The sequence below is a fragment of the Homo sapiens genome, chromosome 5 (genome assembly GCF_000001405.40).
Source record: "Homo sapiens chromosome 5, GRCh38.p14 Primary Assembly".
Taxonomy (NCBI): Eukaryota; Metazoa; Chordata; class Mammalia; order Primates; family Hominidae; genus Homo; species Homo sapiens.
The window spans coordinates 4789851-4805029 of record NC_000005.10 but is presented as its reverse complement, the minus strand read 5'-3'; the positions used below and the strand labels follow the sequence as shown (position 1 = coordinate 4805029).

Below are 15179 nucleotides of genomic sequence, written 5' to 3'. Positions count from 1 at the left end.
ATTTCACAGAAAACCGCAATGCCATGTTGCCTCCCTGACAGGAAAGTCAAGAGGTGGGGGATGGCGCCTTTGGGTGGTGGTCGGGGGCAGCAGTGAAAGGACCAGTGAGCAAAATCCATAAGAGTCCACTGTCAGCTGGAGGGCGCAGGAATTGCATTACCTATCGGATAAATACTCATTAAGAGTAATCACTTTATTTCAGCTCTGTAATGACATTAACAAGCTTGGAATACAGGGAATTACATGAGTCAGAACAAATAATTGAATATTCTACTGCAGAGGGAACACAGCACACGCCTGCCTTCATGTCATGCCGTTTCTGAAGCTAGCACAAGCATGCAATTAGATAATAAGCTTAAACAGCATTAAATTGGCACTATCCGTACCACCACTGAGAAAAAAAGGAGTATTAATTGTTCAACTTGAACCTGCTTGTAATTTCATGCAATACAAATACTAGTAAGCCTGTCCTATTTTTATTTAAATGGACTTATACACAGGCATTAAACATACCAATTAAAAAGGAATATAAATAAAATCTTAGGAAGAAAGATAAAAAAAAGTGCACATGCTGATTCGATTAAGTGGGGGAAGGTTTTCTCTTGAAAAGAATAAAAATTCAGCTACTTTTAAAAAAACTTTAGGGTACTATAGTAATGTGATTATTATTTTCTCAGTATTTCTACCAGGCAGTTTTCTTTTAAAATTATAATCTAAATATGTGCAGTGCGGAGAAATTCATGTTGGCTTACATAAATGTAGCTGTAGCTATACATACAGATAAAGACAGGGACATAGATCCAGATAAAGACAAAGGAATAGATACAGGCATAATTGATGTTGGGTCATCCTTAGTCATGCAAAATGCTATGTGAATGTAAAGATGCCAAACAGAACAGAATGATTCTGTGTTGTGCTACTCAAGAAAAGAGAGTTGAAAGCTGGTGAGCACCAGGTGTCATTTAACTTGCTAGATTCATTAGTAAGCTGGGACCCTGAAAGAAGAAAAAGCTGCGTTTTCCACACCTTGCCACACAAGGGTGTCATTTGGTGCCCTAGATCCCTAGATCACCTTAAGCGTGAGTTAACCTGATGGGATGCATCAAATTACACAAGCTGTTGGACAACGCAAGGAGCAGCGCAGGAATATCCTGCGGGCTCTGCCCTCCACACGGAGAGGATGGGGTCTTCCCCTTCTAGGGTGAGCGGCCCAGAACAGATGAGATGAACTGCGAGAGGCCAGGGCCTTTGGGGAGACCAATCTTGGAGGTAGCCATTTAGAGTGGGTCTCCGTCACAACTCCAAATCTGTGCAGTTATTCAGACAAGCCAATCAGCACTGGATATTCGATAGGCAAACTCAATAATCATTTATAATCCTGACAGGTGAAGGGGCTCCAAGGCAAACCTTAATATACACTGTAGGTTTGAAAATAAGAGAAAACAAATAAAGAAATCTCTATATTCCTGAGAAAATGTCTTTTCTTTCTCTAGTCCTACAATCTTCTAGTCAGGGTTTTTTTCTTCTTTTTTTTATCATTCCCATCCTCACAGGAGACACAAAACCATTTTAAATCTATTTTTCTAAGTAGATCACCACCCAGCCCTCATCTAAGTTCTTGTCTGTAACTCATGTGGATGTTTAGAAGTTATTATTCAATAAAGGCAAAGGGAAAGGGAAAGTAGTTTCTACTTTAGAACTATTTAGACTATGTCAGTAAATTCAATTTTGAGAACTAAACTAGAAGTTTCAGTATTTATCATATCTGTCCTATAAAGTAACTTGAAATTATTGGAAGAAAGATTATCCAGTAGCCCAGTCTTCTTGGTGAAATAGAACTTTGCTTACTGCATCGCTCATGGTACATATGCAATTCATCTGTAGAAGAAATTCAGGAAAAGGACATATTTCCAGTTGAAACTGGAATTAAAATTAATTGCAATAGCAGAAGTATTCTCTATCTCTCCCTTCCTCTTTCTTTTCTCTCTTTCTCTTTCCCTTTTTTTCTCTCTCATTATAATTCTAGTTTTACTTAAGAGAATCAGTAATAATAGATCTTAGCTTTCATAAAGTGGGTACTGTATTATACACATAACATTCTTAATTACCAGTGGTTATTCATCGTATCCCTATGTGCTAGGTACATTGGGAGATAGTAAAACGATAAAATTTGGTCTCTATTTTAAAGCAGCATTTATTTCTATTAGGTTCACACATGTATGAGATAATAATGAAATAATACAAAAAATTAGGGATTATGTTTTATAAATGAATAGCCCAAAATGAATTCATAGAAAAGGAGCATTTATGTATTCAGTCAACAAATATTGATTGATCACTTACTGTATACCAGACTCTCCACCATGTGCCAGAGATAGACCTGAGAAAGCGCTCGTGTCCTCCAGGAACTTCACTCACCTGGAAGAGACAAGCTGTATCGTGAGCTGGGCAACATAGTGTTCATTGTAACTTTTCTTTTTCAAATAAATTTCTTTGAAGAAGCATTCTTGTCAAGATGAAATCAAGAGAGACATGACTTTTGGCAGCACCGTCCTGTGGGACATGTGGCAAACAAATGACATGAGCTAATGGGACAAGAAGGCAACTTCAGCTAGAGAGATGGAAAAAGGTCAGTTGTCCTCCAAATGACCTCTGTTCATGACCACCTCACTCAACATCCAGACACCAAATCTTTAGGAGAGTGACTGAGCACACTACGTGCCGAAGAGCAGGAGGCTGGAGGAGGCTGGACATCACTGTCTTTTATTATCACAGACAGAACAGTAACACTCTGCAGAGCTACGGAAACTTGGTAGAAAAAATAATGGATGAGTCACATGGTGGGAATGTTCAGAAATGTGGAGAAGGCTTTGGCTGCCCCTGCAAGGAATTAAAGCTGTACTTAAGATTAGGTTGACTGTGATAAAAAAAAATATTTCATCTATGCTGAGCCTCAGAAAAGGATAAACTGAGATAGATTATTTCATGCAGATAGAATAGTTTATACAAAGTCATGGAGGCTTAAGAGAACCTGTCTTCAAGTTCAATATTGCTATGGGATGAAGTTCCTGGAGGAAGTACCATAGATTATGATAATCTGTTATGTAATGAAAATGGAATTCTAGTATTTTCCTGAAAGTGACAAATAATTAGAATAATTTAGAATGGGGCTAGGTGCAGGTTGTTAAGGGATCATATGAACTTTATTACCATATTGTAAAGATCACTCAGAAGAGATTGAAGGAAGTTGGACTAGAGGCAATAAGACTAGTAAACAAACTTTCCACATGATCTAGTTTGGGTAATTTGGCACTATTAATCAAAGGAGACATTGTAAAAGAAGAAAAAGCAGGTTTGGAAGTTTTGAACAACTTCAGTTTGAAATGGGCTTTGTATTACTCTGTTTTCATGCTGCTGATAAAGACATATCCAAGACTAGGTAATTTATAAAGAAAAACAGGTTTAATGGACTCACAGTTCCACATGGCTAAGGAGGCCTCACAATCATGGCGGAAGGAGAAAGGCACTTCTTACATGGCAGTGACAAGAAAGAATCAGAGAGCCAAGCCAAAGGGGTTTCCCCTTGTAAAACCATCAGATCTCATGAGACTTAATCACTACCACGAGAACAGTGTGGGGAAACCGCCTCCATGATTTAATTATCTCACTAAGTCCTCCAACAAGACATGGGAATTATGGGAGCTACAATTCAAGATGAGATTTGGGTGGGGATACAGCCAAACCATATCAGGCGTACAGGTGTCTTTGTTCTGTAGGCAAGAAGCAGAGATGTGTCTGGCGCTCAGCATTTGGATGGTCGTCAAAGCCATGGATGGACTTTGCCCAGGAAACCTGTGGAATAGACAGCCTCAGACACAACTCAATTTTACACTTGGGCAGAGATAAAGACACCTGTGAAGGAGATTGAGCAGAAAGTGTAATAGAAGCCAGAGAAAACAATGTGATGCCATTCGAACCAAGGGAAGTTAAATTTTCAGGGAGGGAGAGATGAACAATGCAAGAGAAAAGTACCCAAAGCTCAACATGCTCCAAATTAGACATGTGATTTTCCCCCATATGATAATATTTTATAATATTGGCAATTATGGTGAATGGTAAAACCATCATCCCAGGTACGTAAGTCAAAAGATGAGGAACTGTTCTTGACACCTCACCTTCCTTTGCTCATTGGATTACAAACATTGCTTAGACACCTGGGTGTCCTTCAAAATACGTTTTAATTCCTATACTTTTCTTTCTCTCCACCACCACTTCCTGGTTCAGATGATCGTCATATCTTTCTTAGACTCTTGCACCAGCATTGTCTCTTAGGCTAGTATTTGCTTCATCAAATCCGCTCAGATCCGTTCACACTAATCCAATCAGTTGTCCCCAAGGTAATCAGAAACATCTACTCAAAAACTCATCATTTATATTGCTTACAGGCCATTCACAAAATCTTCTTGCTCCTAAGTTGGACCAAAACCCCTGCACATATGGCATGTTACTGTAGGTAGTGCCACCCAGCTCCACCTGCCTTCACAGCTTGCAACAGCACCTGGGTCTCTTCTGAGTTTTGAATAATCCAAAATTCCTGCCATAATTTGTTATTTGCATATAGTATGCTTTAGACTTTTCAGGCTCCTCTCTTCATCTTTGTCTCAATAATCATTATTATTTCTATAGTTTCTAATTTAATGAGCATTTTCCTTTTTTTATTATACTTTAAGTTCTAAGGTACATGTGCACAACGTGCAGGTTTGTTACATATGTATACATGTGCCATGTTGGTGTGCTGCACCCATTAACTTGTCATTTACATTAGGTATATCTCCTAATGCACTTGGAACCAACCCAAATGAGCATTTTCATGTGATCAAATCCCCCATTACCATAGGCAAACCCCTGTATCATGGATGAGCTCTGTGTATCTCCATTTCAGAGCTAGGAGATCATCAGAGGCAGAGGTCAAGGCTCCTGCTTTCTCTCTTCCCTCATCACTAGCAGGAAACCTTGCACTCACTCGTAGGTGGCTGCTTAAGCATGTGCTATCACATGCGTATTCCATTTCAAAGGAACAATGAACATATCTATATGTTGCTTATAACTGTAACCTCAGAACTGCCTGACACATAGCAGGGGCTCATATGAATTTGAACTATACATAGGGAAATACATGAAAAAAATGAGAAATCAAGTAAAAAGATGAATGCATAGTCTCAGTGTGCTTTTATAATGAATGGTCACTCATGGTTTCACAGATAACAGGTTCTGTATAAAATGTAAGACAGTTATTGTTTCTATTAGTGTGAAAAATAAGGGTCGCAAAGAAATGGAAAGAAGACAGTTAACTATTCTAGTTTTATAGCTTACTTTTAAGAGGTAAGTGACATACAGGGAACAAATAAAAAAAAACAAGGACTTTTTTCTTTGTTGTATTGTTAATGGTCACCGAGTCTTGGCCATGTTTGCAAGCTGAGAGGACAAGATAGTGAAGAACAAAATTATGTGCTGAAAAGCGGACCCACTTCAAGGGCATATGAATAGTGCAGCCACACAAGGCCTGCACTTGGTTTAGAGTTCCCTGTCAAAATCTTGAAATTCTTAATAATGGTATCTTTGAGCTGGTGTCTTGCAAGTAAAGTCAAATGGATAATGGAGTATTGTGTATGCAGAAGAAATCTGTGTGTTGGCCATGCTTTGCCACAGTTTTTGCATATATCATTACTATTGCTACTTGGCATCCATAATTTTTGTAACTTATGCTCACTGGGAGGCTCACTGAACTCCCATGCTCTGTGGGTCCACAGGAACCCTGTGCTCCTGTTTTATATCCACATATCTATGGCTAAGTGGGCGTTCTGGCAGCAGTTCTGTTCAAACTATAGCTTGCTTCGAATGCAGGAGGAAAGTAATGGTGAGCCAGCAAATCTTATCATCAATCAAAATATCACATTAAGAAGGTATCATTATTGTATTATATAAAATTATGACACCAAAATTTGATTTTTTCATTTATAAGCTTATGTTTCTTTTCTTGTATCACTATTATCCATATTACATCTTATATATAATCACATTTGTAGAAATACTTCCAACCCTTTAATATAGATAAGGGTACATGTGCAGGTTTGTTTGAGCAATGGGCCTCATGTTTTTATTTTACATGAGGCCATGCAAATTATGCAGCTAGTCTTGCTTTCTTGTGGGATAGACTCGAAGATATGAAGGTGAACCTGGAGGTTGTTTCTCACGTAACAACACTAATTAATAAAAACTGTTGAGCTGTGCACAGTGGCTCACACCTGTGTAATACCAGCACTTTGGGAGGCTAAGGGAGGAGGATTACTTGAGCCTGGGAGTTTGAGACCAAGCCTGGGCAACAGGGTGACCACATACCTACAAAAAAAAAAAAAAAAAAACCCAAAATAGCTGGGAGTGGTGGTATGTGCCTGTGGTCCCAGCTACTAGGGAGGCTGAGGAGGGAGGACCACTTGAGCCTAGGAGATTGAGGCTACAATCAACTGTGACGACTCCACTGCACTCCAGCCTGGGCTACACAACAATATTCTGTATCAAAAATAATAAATACCAAAACTATATTGAATATGTACTCTCTGACTAGCACTGAGATTAAGATTATTACCTCTATCTCTGTCTTCAAATATTTTTTAATATAATGTGGTCCACAGAAACTTTTATAGGCTGCCTCCTTATTAGTGGTTACATCTGTTTGGCAAGACGTTAAATTGGCTGATTATGAATACCTTGGGTATTAAATAATCAGCAAGGGTTGTGTATATTATCCAAAGTTCAAACTCATATAGGGTAGAAAGTATGGAAAAAGTAAAGCAGCAAAGAAAGAAATCAGATTGATGTGTTTGGTGTTACTAATTTTCATGCTACTTTAAAATATTCATGAGGTGTAACATATCATAACTCTAGTTCCCTACATCAAAAGGTGTCAAAATTATGCAAAAGAATATAAAGAGACCTAAAATCCTTTCACATTCAATGAAAAAAACAAACTCTCTAAAGAGAGCCCCCACTTCACCTGTGTGAAGGCACGCACTGGATAAAAATTGGAAAATATAGACCAACTAGGGCAAGGGCGTTAACAGCTGTAACATATCTCCCCATACTTTGAATAAGGCACCAGTTACCCTAAAAACAAATTCTCCCCTTACTGAGAGACAATTCCAGTGATCCGTAGTTCAAGTAATGAGAAGTTCAGGCTTGGGAAAGCCAAAGGACAAGCTCGAAAATTTACCATAGACATTAAATTTGATAAAAGATGTTGAAGTGGATGGAGTTAGAGAAAGCTTCTAATTTAAACCATTCATGGTCTATGGCCTGGAGTCATTACCAAGAGGGCCTGCAGAGGGAGAAGCATAATGAACATGCCTAGGAGGGAGATTCATGAAGGAGACAACACAACCAAATTATAAAGTAGAAGAGTCTTTAATTTAAAGATGTAGCTTAGCCACACTGATCATCAAAAACTTAGAAGTGTTTGTCTAAGGCCATAAAATAACATATTTCATTGTATGTTCTAGACATGGAAGAGGGAAGAAAAAACATTATGGAAGTGAAAGTGAATTAAAAACAAATAGGAAAATTGAGACTGAAAAGGTAATCAGCCATAGATTGTTTTGAGGAAATCCACACAAATCATAGTAGAACAGTTATAAAAATGTGCATAGAGAATGTGGCAGAAATGGAAGATAGATAATCCAGAAGAAGAGGGTAGGAAATAAAATAGAATCATTATAATAAGAAAGGATATAATTAGCTAATAAACTTTTTTTCTGCAAAAATAAGCTTAAAACTTGTAGATAAAAAGGGCTTAGTAGTTCATAGGAAAATTGACAGCAAAAATCAGGACATAACTTATTGGGATCAATGGATGTTGAAGGTAAAGAAAAAGATATCTAATGAGAAAAATTATCTAAATACATGGAAGAAAATAGTGGGTTGGCCTCAAACCTTCCCACAGCAGCATTCAGTCACCGAGGAGAGATGAACTCATTCAAGCATTTTCACTGTTTTCAAAGGAAATACATTGTAAATGCCATTAGAAGTGGTGTTGGCTTGTATTAATGTAGATATCTGTACAGAATTAAGTGCTGTGAGTGACAGAAAACACAAAGTAATAATGACTTAAATAAAAGAGAAGTAATAATGACTTAAATGATAGAGAAGTTTAATTCTGCTTTTCATTAAAGAAGTTTAGGAGTGAAAATTCTTAAGTCCCATAATTTTTCCGGACCAACATATATTATCTCTGTGCTCTGCTGTTATTAGCAGAAACTTCATACTTAAACATGGTTGCTTGAGCTCCAGCCATTAACTATACATTCTAGCCAAAAGTGAGTCTGAAAGGTGAAGAAAGTTTTGCCATCAGAACAATCTACAAGGAAGGTTAGGAGATATAATCTTCATTCTGTATGACTATGTGCCTAGCTACAAACTGGCATGTCTACTGTGAAGAAAAAGGAGAATATTGGTATGAGAGAAAAATTAAGAATCTCTGTTTCAACATTTTTCCTGTAGCTGAGGATATTTCTTTCTATTCCCTTGTGGAAGGAGACTTTTGTTTTAAATATGAAAATAATAACAAATTGGATATTTCTAATAAAACAAAGAAGTCTTCAAACACACAAAACATAAACTTATAAGCCAATCTCCTCAAAATACCTAATAAAAAAGTAAAATAACATGGCAGCATTCACCAAATGTCCAGAGAAATCTCAGGTGTGTCTTCAGTGTCATCGCTGTGCTGCTTCCTCAGCCCAGCACAGAACCAAACCTGTGTTTTGAAGTTAAGCTCTAAGTAGTTGAATATGGTTTCCAGTCATGATAAAAGCTTTGCACAAGGATCAAAGTTATCACCAGCATTCTCAAATAATACATCGCATAGTTTAAAAATATTTACAATGGACAATAATAAGTAGTGATACTAACATAAAATTGGCCAGGTAGACAGCCTTGTACAAGTGTGAGGCTGACAGTGGAATGTTAGTGTTATGTCAGGACATTTGGGCTGTGGCTGCTGACTCTTGTCCATCAATCATTTATTTTTGATACAATGGGATAGCAAGTTCCTCCATTCATATTCAAACACTGGTGTATTTCCAATACCAGTTAGCTGTGCCTTTGGGCAAGATGGCATGTTAGTACTTGAATTCTTTGTCTACACATTGATCTCAATGGTTGATTTGTTTACAGACATGACTACTGTGTCGGAGTTCTTGTAGTCTTGAGCTGCTAAATGTCAACAGCTACTGCTGAGAGGTGAAATCTAGAGAGCCTTTTGAATTGATGGTGGTTTTTGGTTTACCGAGGAATTTTTGTCTCTTTAAACTGTTAATAAAGTGAATTATATTGAGTTTCTCTAATGTAAAATATGAGGTAAAATTATTAAAAGGTGATATATAAAACTGTCCATGTTCTCAAATGATATAATATTCTTCATGGAAAATGCAGGAAAATTTGAAGACAACTATTAGAATTAATTGGAGAGTTCAACAAATTGTTAAATATGATATCAGTATAGAAAAAAATAATTGTGCTCTTAAACATAAGCAGCAATTGATTATAAAATAGAATTAATTTAAAAAATCTCTTCCAAAATAGCGATGACTGAATATATATATATGTATAAACATAACTAAAATATAAGATTTTTATTTTAGAGACCATAAAGCCTTATTGAAAGACATAAAAGAAGACAAATAGGAAGACATCCCATATTCATGAATGAGATAAGCACATCGTTTTCCCCAATTGATTTAATACAAACAATGAAATTTACATCAAATTTCTCATTTTTCCCCTACAGAACTGGATACATTTATTTTAAAATTTATAAAAGTCCAACAGTAGCCAAAATAATTAAAGAGTAATAAAGGGAGAATCTTACTTTACCAAATAGCAAGAATGAGTATAAAACTGTAGTATTTAATGTCATGTAGAAATTGAGACGGACAAATTAACTGAAGGAACATAACAGAAAGTATGAAAACAGAAACACTAGCAGAATTTGTATATTCCTTTATGAAACTAACATATGAGAGTTGTGGCTCTGCAAATCAACAAGGTAACTGTCTATCCATCTGAAAAATTAAAATTAATTGAATTACAGATGTATTAAAGACAAACAGCCAAACAAAACTTTACGTGGTGTAGGGAGACATATTATGATCTCCAGGTTTGATAGGATTTATTGACCAAGGCATAAAGAAAAAGAAGTGGGGAAAAAACCCTATAACTTTTACTGCATTGTCAAAATATAACTTTCTGTAGGACAAGAGCACCCTAAACTGAGTAAATTGACAGTCCACAGATTAGCTGCAGAATAGGGAAAGACCGTTTCCATGTACATGACAGACAAAGAAATCAACATCCATAATATGTAGCATTCCTATAATGCCATGATTAAAAGAAACAATTTACAATAGTGTAAGAAATATGAAGTACATAGGAGTAATCTAACAAAATAAAGGCAAGTCTTCTTTACAGAGAACTGTATGGCATTACTGAGAGAAAATAGACCAAAACATGTGGAAGGAAATATGAGCAGTGGCTCTGGGCTGACAGTTTGCAAGGAAAGAAACCTGAAAGGACCAATGAGGATATGAAAGATGGTCAGTCTCTCTCATAATCAGGGAAATGCAGTAACAGTTGTCTTTTAATCTGTACATTAGGGAAAGATAAAAATTTCATATATAAATGGAAGTGTGATTTGGTACAATTACTTTGGAAAATGGTTTGACAATATTCACTAAACTTTAGATATGTATGTTCTATGGCCCAGTGGTCCAGCAGCAATTTAACTCCTACATGTTTATCCAAGAGAAAAAAACACATGTGTACTCCAAAGACGTGTGCAATTTTTATTTTATTTATTTATTTTTGAGACTGAGTCTCACTCTGTTGCCCAGGCTGGAGTGCAGTGGCGCAATCTCAGCTCACTGCAACCTCCGCCTCCTGGGTTCAAGCAATTCTCCTGCCTCAGCCTCTCCGGCAGTTGGGATTATAGGTGCCCACCACCACAGCCGGTTAATTTTTGTATTTTTATTAGGGACAGGGTTTCAGCATTTTGGGCAGGCTCGTCTCGAACTCCTGACCTCAGGTGATCCGCCCACCTGGCCTCCCAAAGTGCTGGGATTACAGACGTGAACCACCACACCCGGACAGCATGTGCAGTATTTTTTATTACAGCATCAATTGTAATAGCTGTTAGTCTACTATAATATTTGATATTTGTACCAATAAACCACTTTAATTATCATATGGTTTTAGTAAGTCTTAATGCTGGAGGGAGGAAGTCTTCCCACCTTGTTTTTTAAGCATGTGTTGTGTATTGTTTCCCATAACTTTGAGGATCAACTTATCAAGTACTGTAGTTGAATATAAATCAATAAGAAGAAATTAACATCTATATAGTATAGAGTCTTTCCATTCATAAATATGGCATATCCTTCCACATGTTTTGGTCTATTTTCTCTCAGTAATGCCATATAGTTCTCTGTAAAGAAGACTTGCCTTTATTTTGTTAGATTACTCCTATGTACTTCATATTTCTTATACTATAGTGAATTGTTTCTTTTTATTTTATTTTTAAATTGCTGGCTGTGGAGATATAATTACTTTTCAAAGAAGGATTTAGAACCAGCATGCTTATTAAATTCTGTTAATAATTCTAGTTGTTAACCTGTAGATTTTTCTGCTTTTCTCTATATGCAATCATGTAATCTTCAATGAATAATGTCAAGTTTGCTTTCTCTTTTCCAACTGCCAAGCTTTCTTTTAGTGTAGATCTCACAGTGATGGATTTTCTTAGTTTTTATTTTTCTGAAATGTCTCTGTTTTACCCTCACTATTAAAAATATTTAATGGGTATAAAATTCTACATTGCACATTACATTATTTTTAGCATCCTAAGATATTGTTCCACAGATTTCTGGCTTTCAGTGTTGCCAGTGAGATGTAGCCTACCAGTCTAAATATTGCACCTTAAAAATTTTTATAATTGACTGCTTTTAGGTTTTACTTTTTCTTTTTTTTTTTCTTTCTTTGAGACGGAGTCTCGCTCTGTCGCCCAGGCTGGAGTGCAGTGGCATGATCTCAGCTCATTGCAAGCTCTGCCTCCCAGGTTCACGCCTTTCTCCTGCCTCAGCCTCCCGAGTAGCTGGGACTACAGGCGTCCGCCACCACGCCCAGCTAATTTTTTTGTATTTTTAGTAGAAATCGGGTTTCACCGTGTTAGTCAGGATGGTCTCGATCTCCTGACATTGTGATCCGCCCGCCTTGGCCTCCCAAAGTGCTGGGATTACAGGCTTTATTGATTTTCTATTGTGTGCCTGTGTTGTGTCTAGATGCGGATTTCCATTAATTTATTTGCAATACATTTTTTTTAAATCAATAGATTTATGGATTTTTTTAGTTTTATGAAAAAACTTAGCATTTAACAATATATTATTTCTATTCTGTGCTCTTACTTTTGTTCCTCTTGAACACCAAGAAACCTAAGTTCAACCTCTCATCAAATCAGCTATCTCTCTTTCTCGTCTGTATTTTCTCTTTATTGCTTCATAAGTATCTTTATATAATGTCTGTGATCTATTTTCCAGTTCATTGGTTCTTGTTTTAGCTATATCTGAACTGCTGTTAAATAAATTTATGGGGATATTAATTTTGATTATTATATCTTTTTAAAGGATTTATCTTTCATTCTTCTAAAAATCTATTATGATATTCTACAGTGCCCAATTCTCCATCAAAATATTCAAACTTATCTTGGACTTCATTTAATATAGTAAGCACATCTAGTTTATAACATGGACCTGCTAAGTATAGTATTTGGAGTACCTATGGGTATGTTTTTGTTGTCTGCGTTCCTACAGGTTCTCACTCATGGAGTCTTGGTTTCTTGTGTTCTTTTTTTTTTCTTATTTTTATTTCCTTTTATTGGTTTAGAGTCTTGCCTATTCTAGGTAACATCAAAAAAGAAGTTTTGTATTTACTCAATATATAGACAGTTTAAAATATTGTTAAAATCTCTTTTTTTCAGCACTCACTTTCCAAATGTAAGATAGATGGATACTGAGCTTCTCTTTATTCTTAACTTGACCATAAGGAGCAACCATTACGAAAAGTAAAAACTTACCTATTTGATGTGTCTCTACCATTGTGAGAAATAGAGGAAATTCATTAATAATTACAGTTCTAGGCTTTCCCCAGAGTGTCATTTTTATTTTAATAATAAACTTTATTTTTCAGAACAGTTTTACAGAAAAATTCAGCAGATGGTACACTGAGTTCCCAGATATACCATCTTCCCTAATTATTATTTCCCCTAATTATTATTTCCAATTTTTATTCCCCTAATTATCATTTCCCCTAATTATTATTTCCCCTATTATTAACATCTCACCCTGTTGTGCATTTGTTACCATTAGTGGATCAGTTATTGATTTGTTATTACAACTACTTTATACATTAATATCCACTCTTTGCATTATATAGTTCTTTTAGTTTTGGTATCACTGTAGTACCATACACAGTAGTTTTACTGACCTAGAGATCCTCTGTGCTTCACATTTCCACCTGCAACTCCAAACCTGTGGCAACCATTGATCTTTTTTACTTTTTCTAGTTTTTCCTTCTCCAGAATTTCATCTGGTTGGAATCATACGGTATGTAAATCATTTTAGGCTGGCTTCTTTCAGTAATCGATATGCACTTACAGTTTCTACATGTCTTTTTGTGGCTTGCTAACTCATTTCTTTGTATTGCTGAATAATGTAACATTTTATCTATGTACCTCAGCTTGTTTATCCATTCACCTGTTGAAGTCTATCTTGTTTGACTGTTGGGAAATTATAAATAAATCTGCCACAAAAATTACTGTGCAAATCTTGGGTATGTATAAAGTTTTAACTCCATTGGGTAAATATTTAGAAGCATATTTTCTGAATCACATTTAGCTTCGTACAATTCTGCAAAATTATCTTTCAAATTGGCTATACTGTTTGGCATTACGATAAACACTAAATGAAAGTTCCTATCACTGCATCTTCATCAGCATTAGGTATTGGCAGTGTCGGTTGGTTTTGTTTGGATTTTAACCATTTGAACAGGTATGCAATAGTATCTCATAATTGTTTTAATTTTTCCTTAGTTAATAACATGATGTTGACTGTGTTTTTATAGGCTTGTTTGCCATATGTACATATTCTCTACTAACTTGTCTTTTCAGATATCTTACACATTTTTAATTGAGTGGTTTGCCTTCATATTGTTGAGTTTAAGAGTTATTTGTATCTTTGGACACAATCCATTATCAGATATAAATTTTGCAGATGTTTTCTCTCAGTCTATATTTTATCTTTTTAGTCTCTTAGCAGTGTCTTTTACAGAGCCAGAGTCTTTAATTTTCACGAACTCCAACTTATCCATTTTGCCTTTCATAGATCATTATTTTGACATTGTGTCTAAACTCTCATCAAACCCAAGCCTCCCTAGATTTTCTTCTGTTTTCTTCCAGGAGTTGTATAACTCTTCATTTTACATCTAGGTCTATGTTCTGTTATGTATTAAATTTTGTGAAAGGTATAAACTCTGTGCCTAGACTCTTCTCTTGCCTTTTATTTATTTATTTATTTTGCATATGAATGTCCAACTTTTCTACCAGCATTTGTTGGAAAAACTACTTTTTTCAAATGAATTACATTTGTTTCTTTGTAAAAGATCAGATACTGGTGTGAGTCTATTTCTGGATTCTCCATTTATCAGATCCACGTATTTATGTGGCTCCTTTTTCCCCAATTTCAAGCTTTCTCAATTACAATCTGATAAGTCTTAAACTTGTGTAATATTCGTCCTCCAACTTTGTTCTTCTTCATTATTGTTTTGGCTAGTCTGAGTCTTTTGCCTTTCCATATGAACTTTAGAATTAGTTTAACATGAAATACCATGAAATAATTTGCAGGGGTTTTATTTGGGATTATGTTGAATGGATATTTCAAATTGGAAAGAATTGACAACAAAAATATTTGACAAAAAATATTATGCCTTCCTATGTATGAACATAGACTATTTCTCCATTTATATAGATTTTTGAGTTTTTTTTGATGTCTTTAATCAGTTTTGTACTTTTCTGAATATAGATTCTG

At 35.8% G+C, this 15179-nt stretch overlaps 1 long non-coding RNA gene across 24 annotated transcripts in view; it reads left to right on the top strand.

The window, feature by feature from the left end:
- The window catches only part of LOC107986400 (uncharacterized), a 137038-nt gene that overhangs the window by 62224 nt on the left and 59635 nt on the right, over positions 1 to 15179 (top strand). For 2 of the 24 annotated variants that reach the window (XR_002956206.2, XR_002956208.1), the window contains one exon: positions 2500 to 2968. The exons of the other annotated variants lie outside the window; for them this stretch is intronic. This is a non-coding gene — a long non-coding RNA (uncharacterized LOC107986400). Of the gene's footprint in view, positions 1 to 2499; positions 2969 to 15179 lie in introns of those variants that run through there. 24 annotated transcript variants of the gene reach the window in all.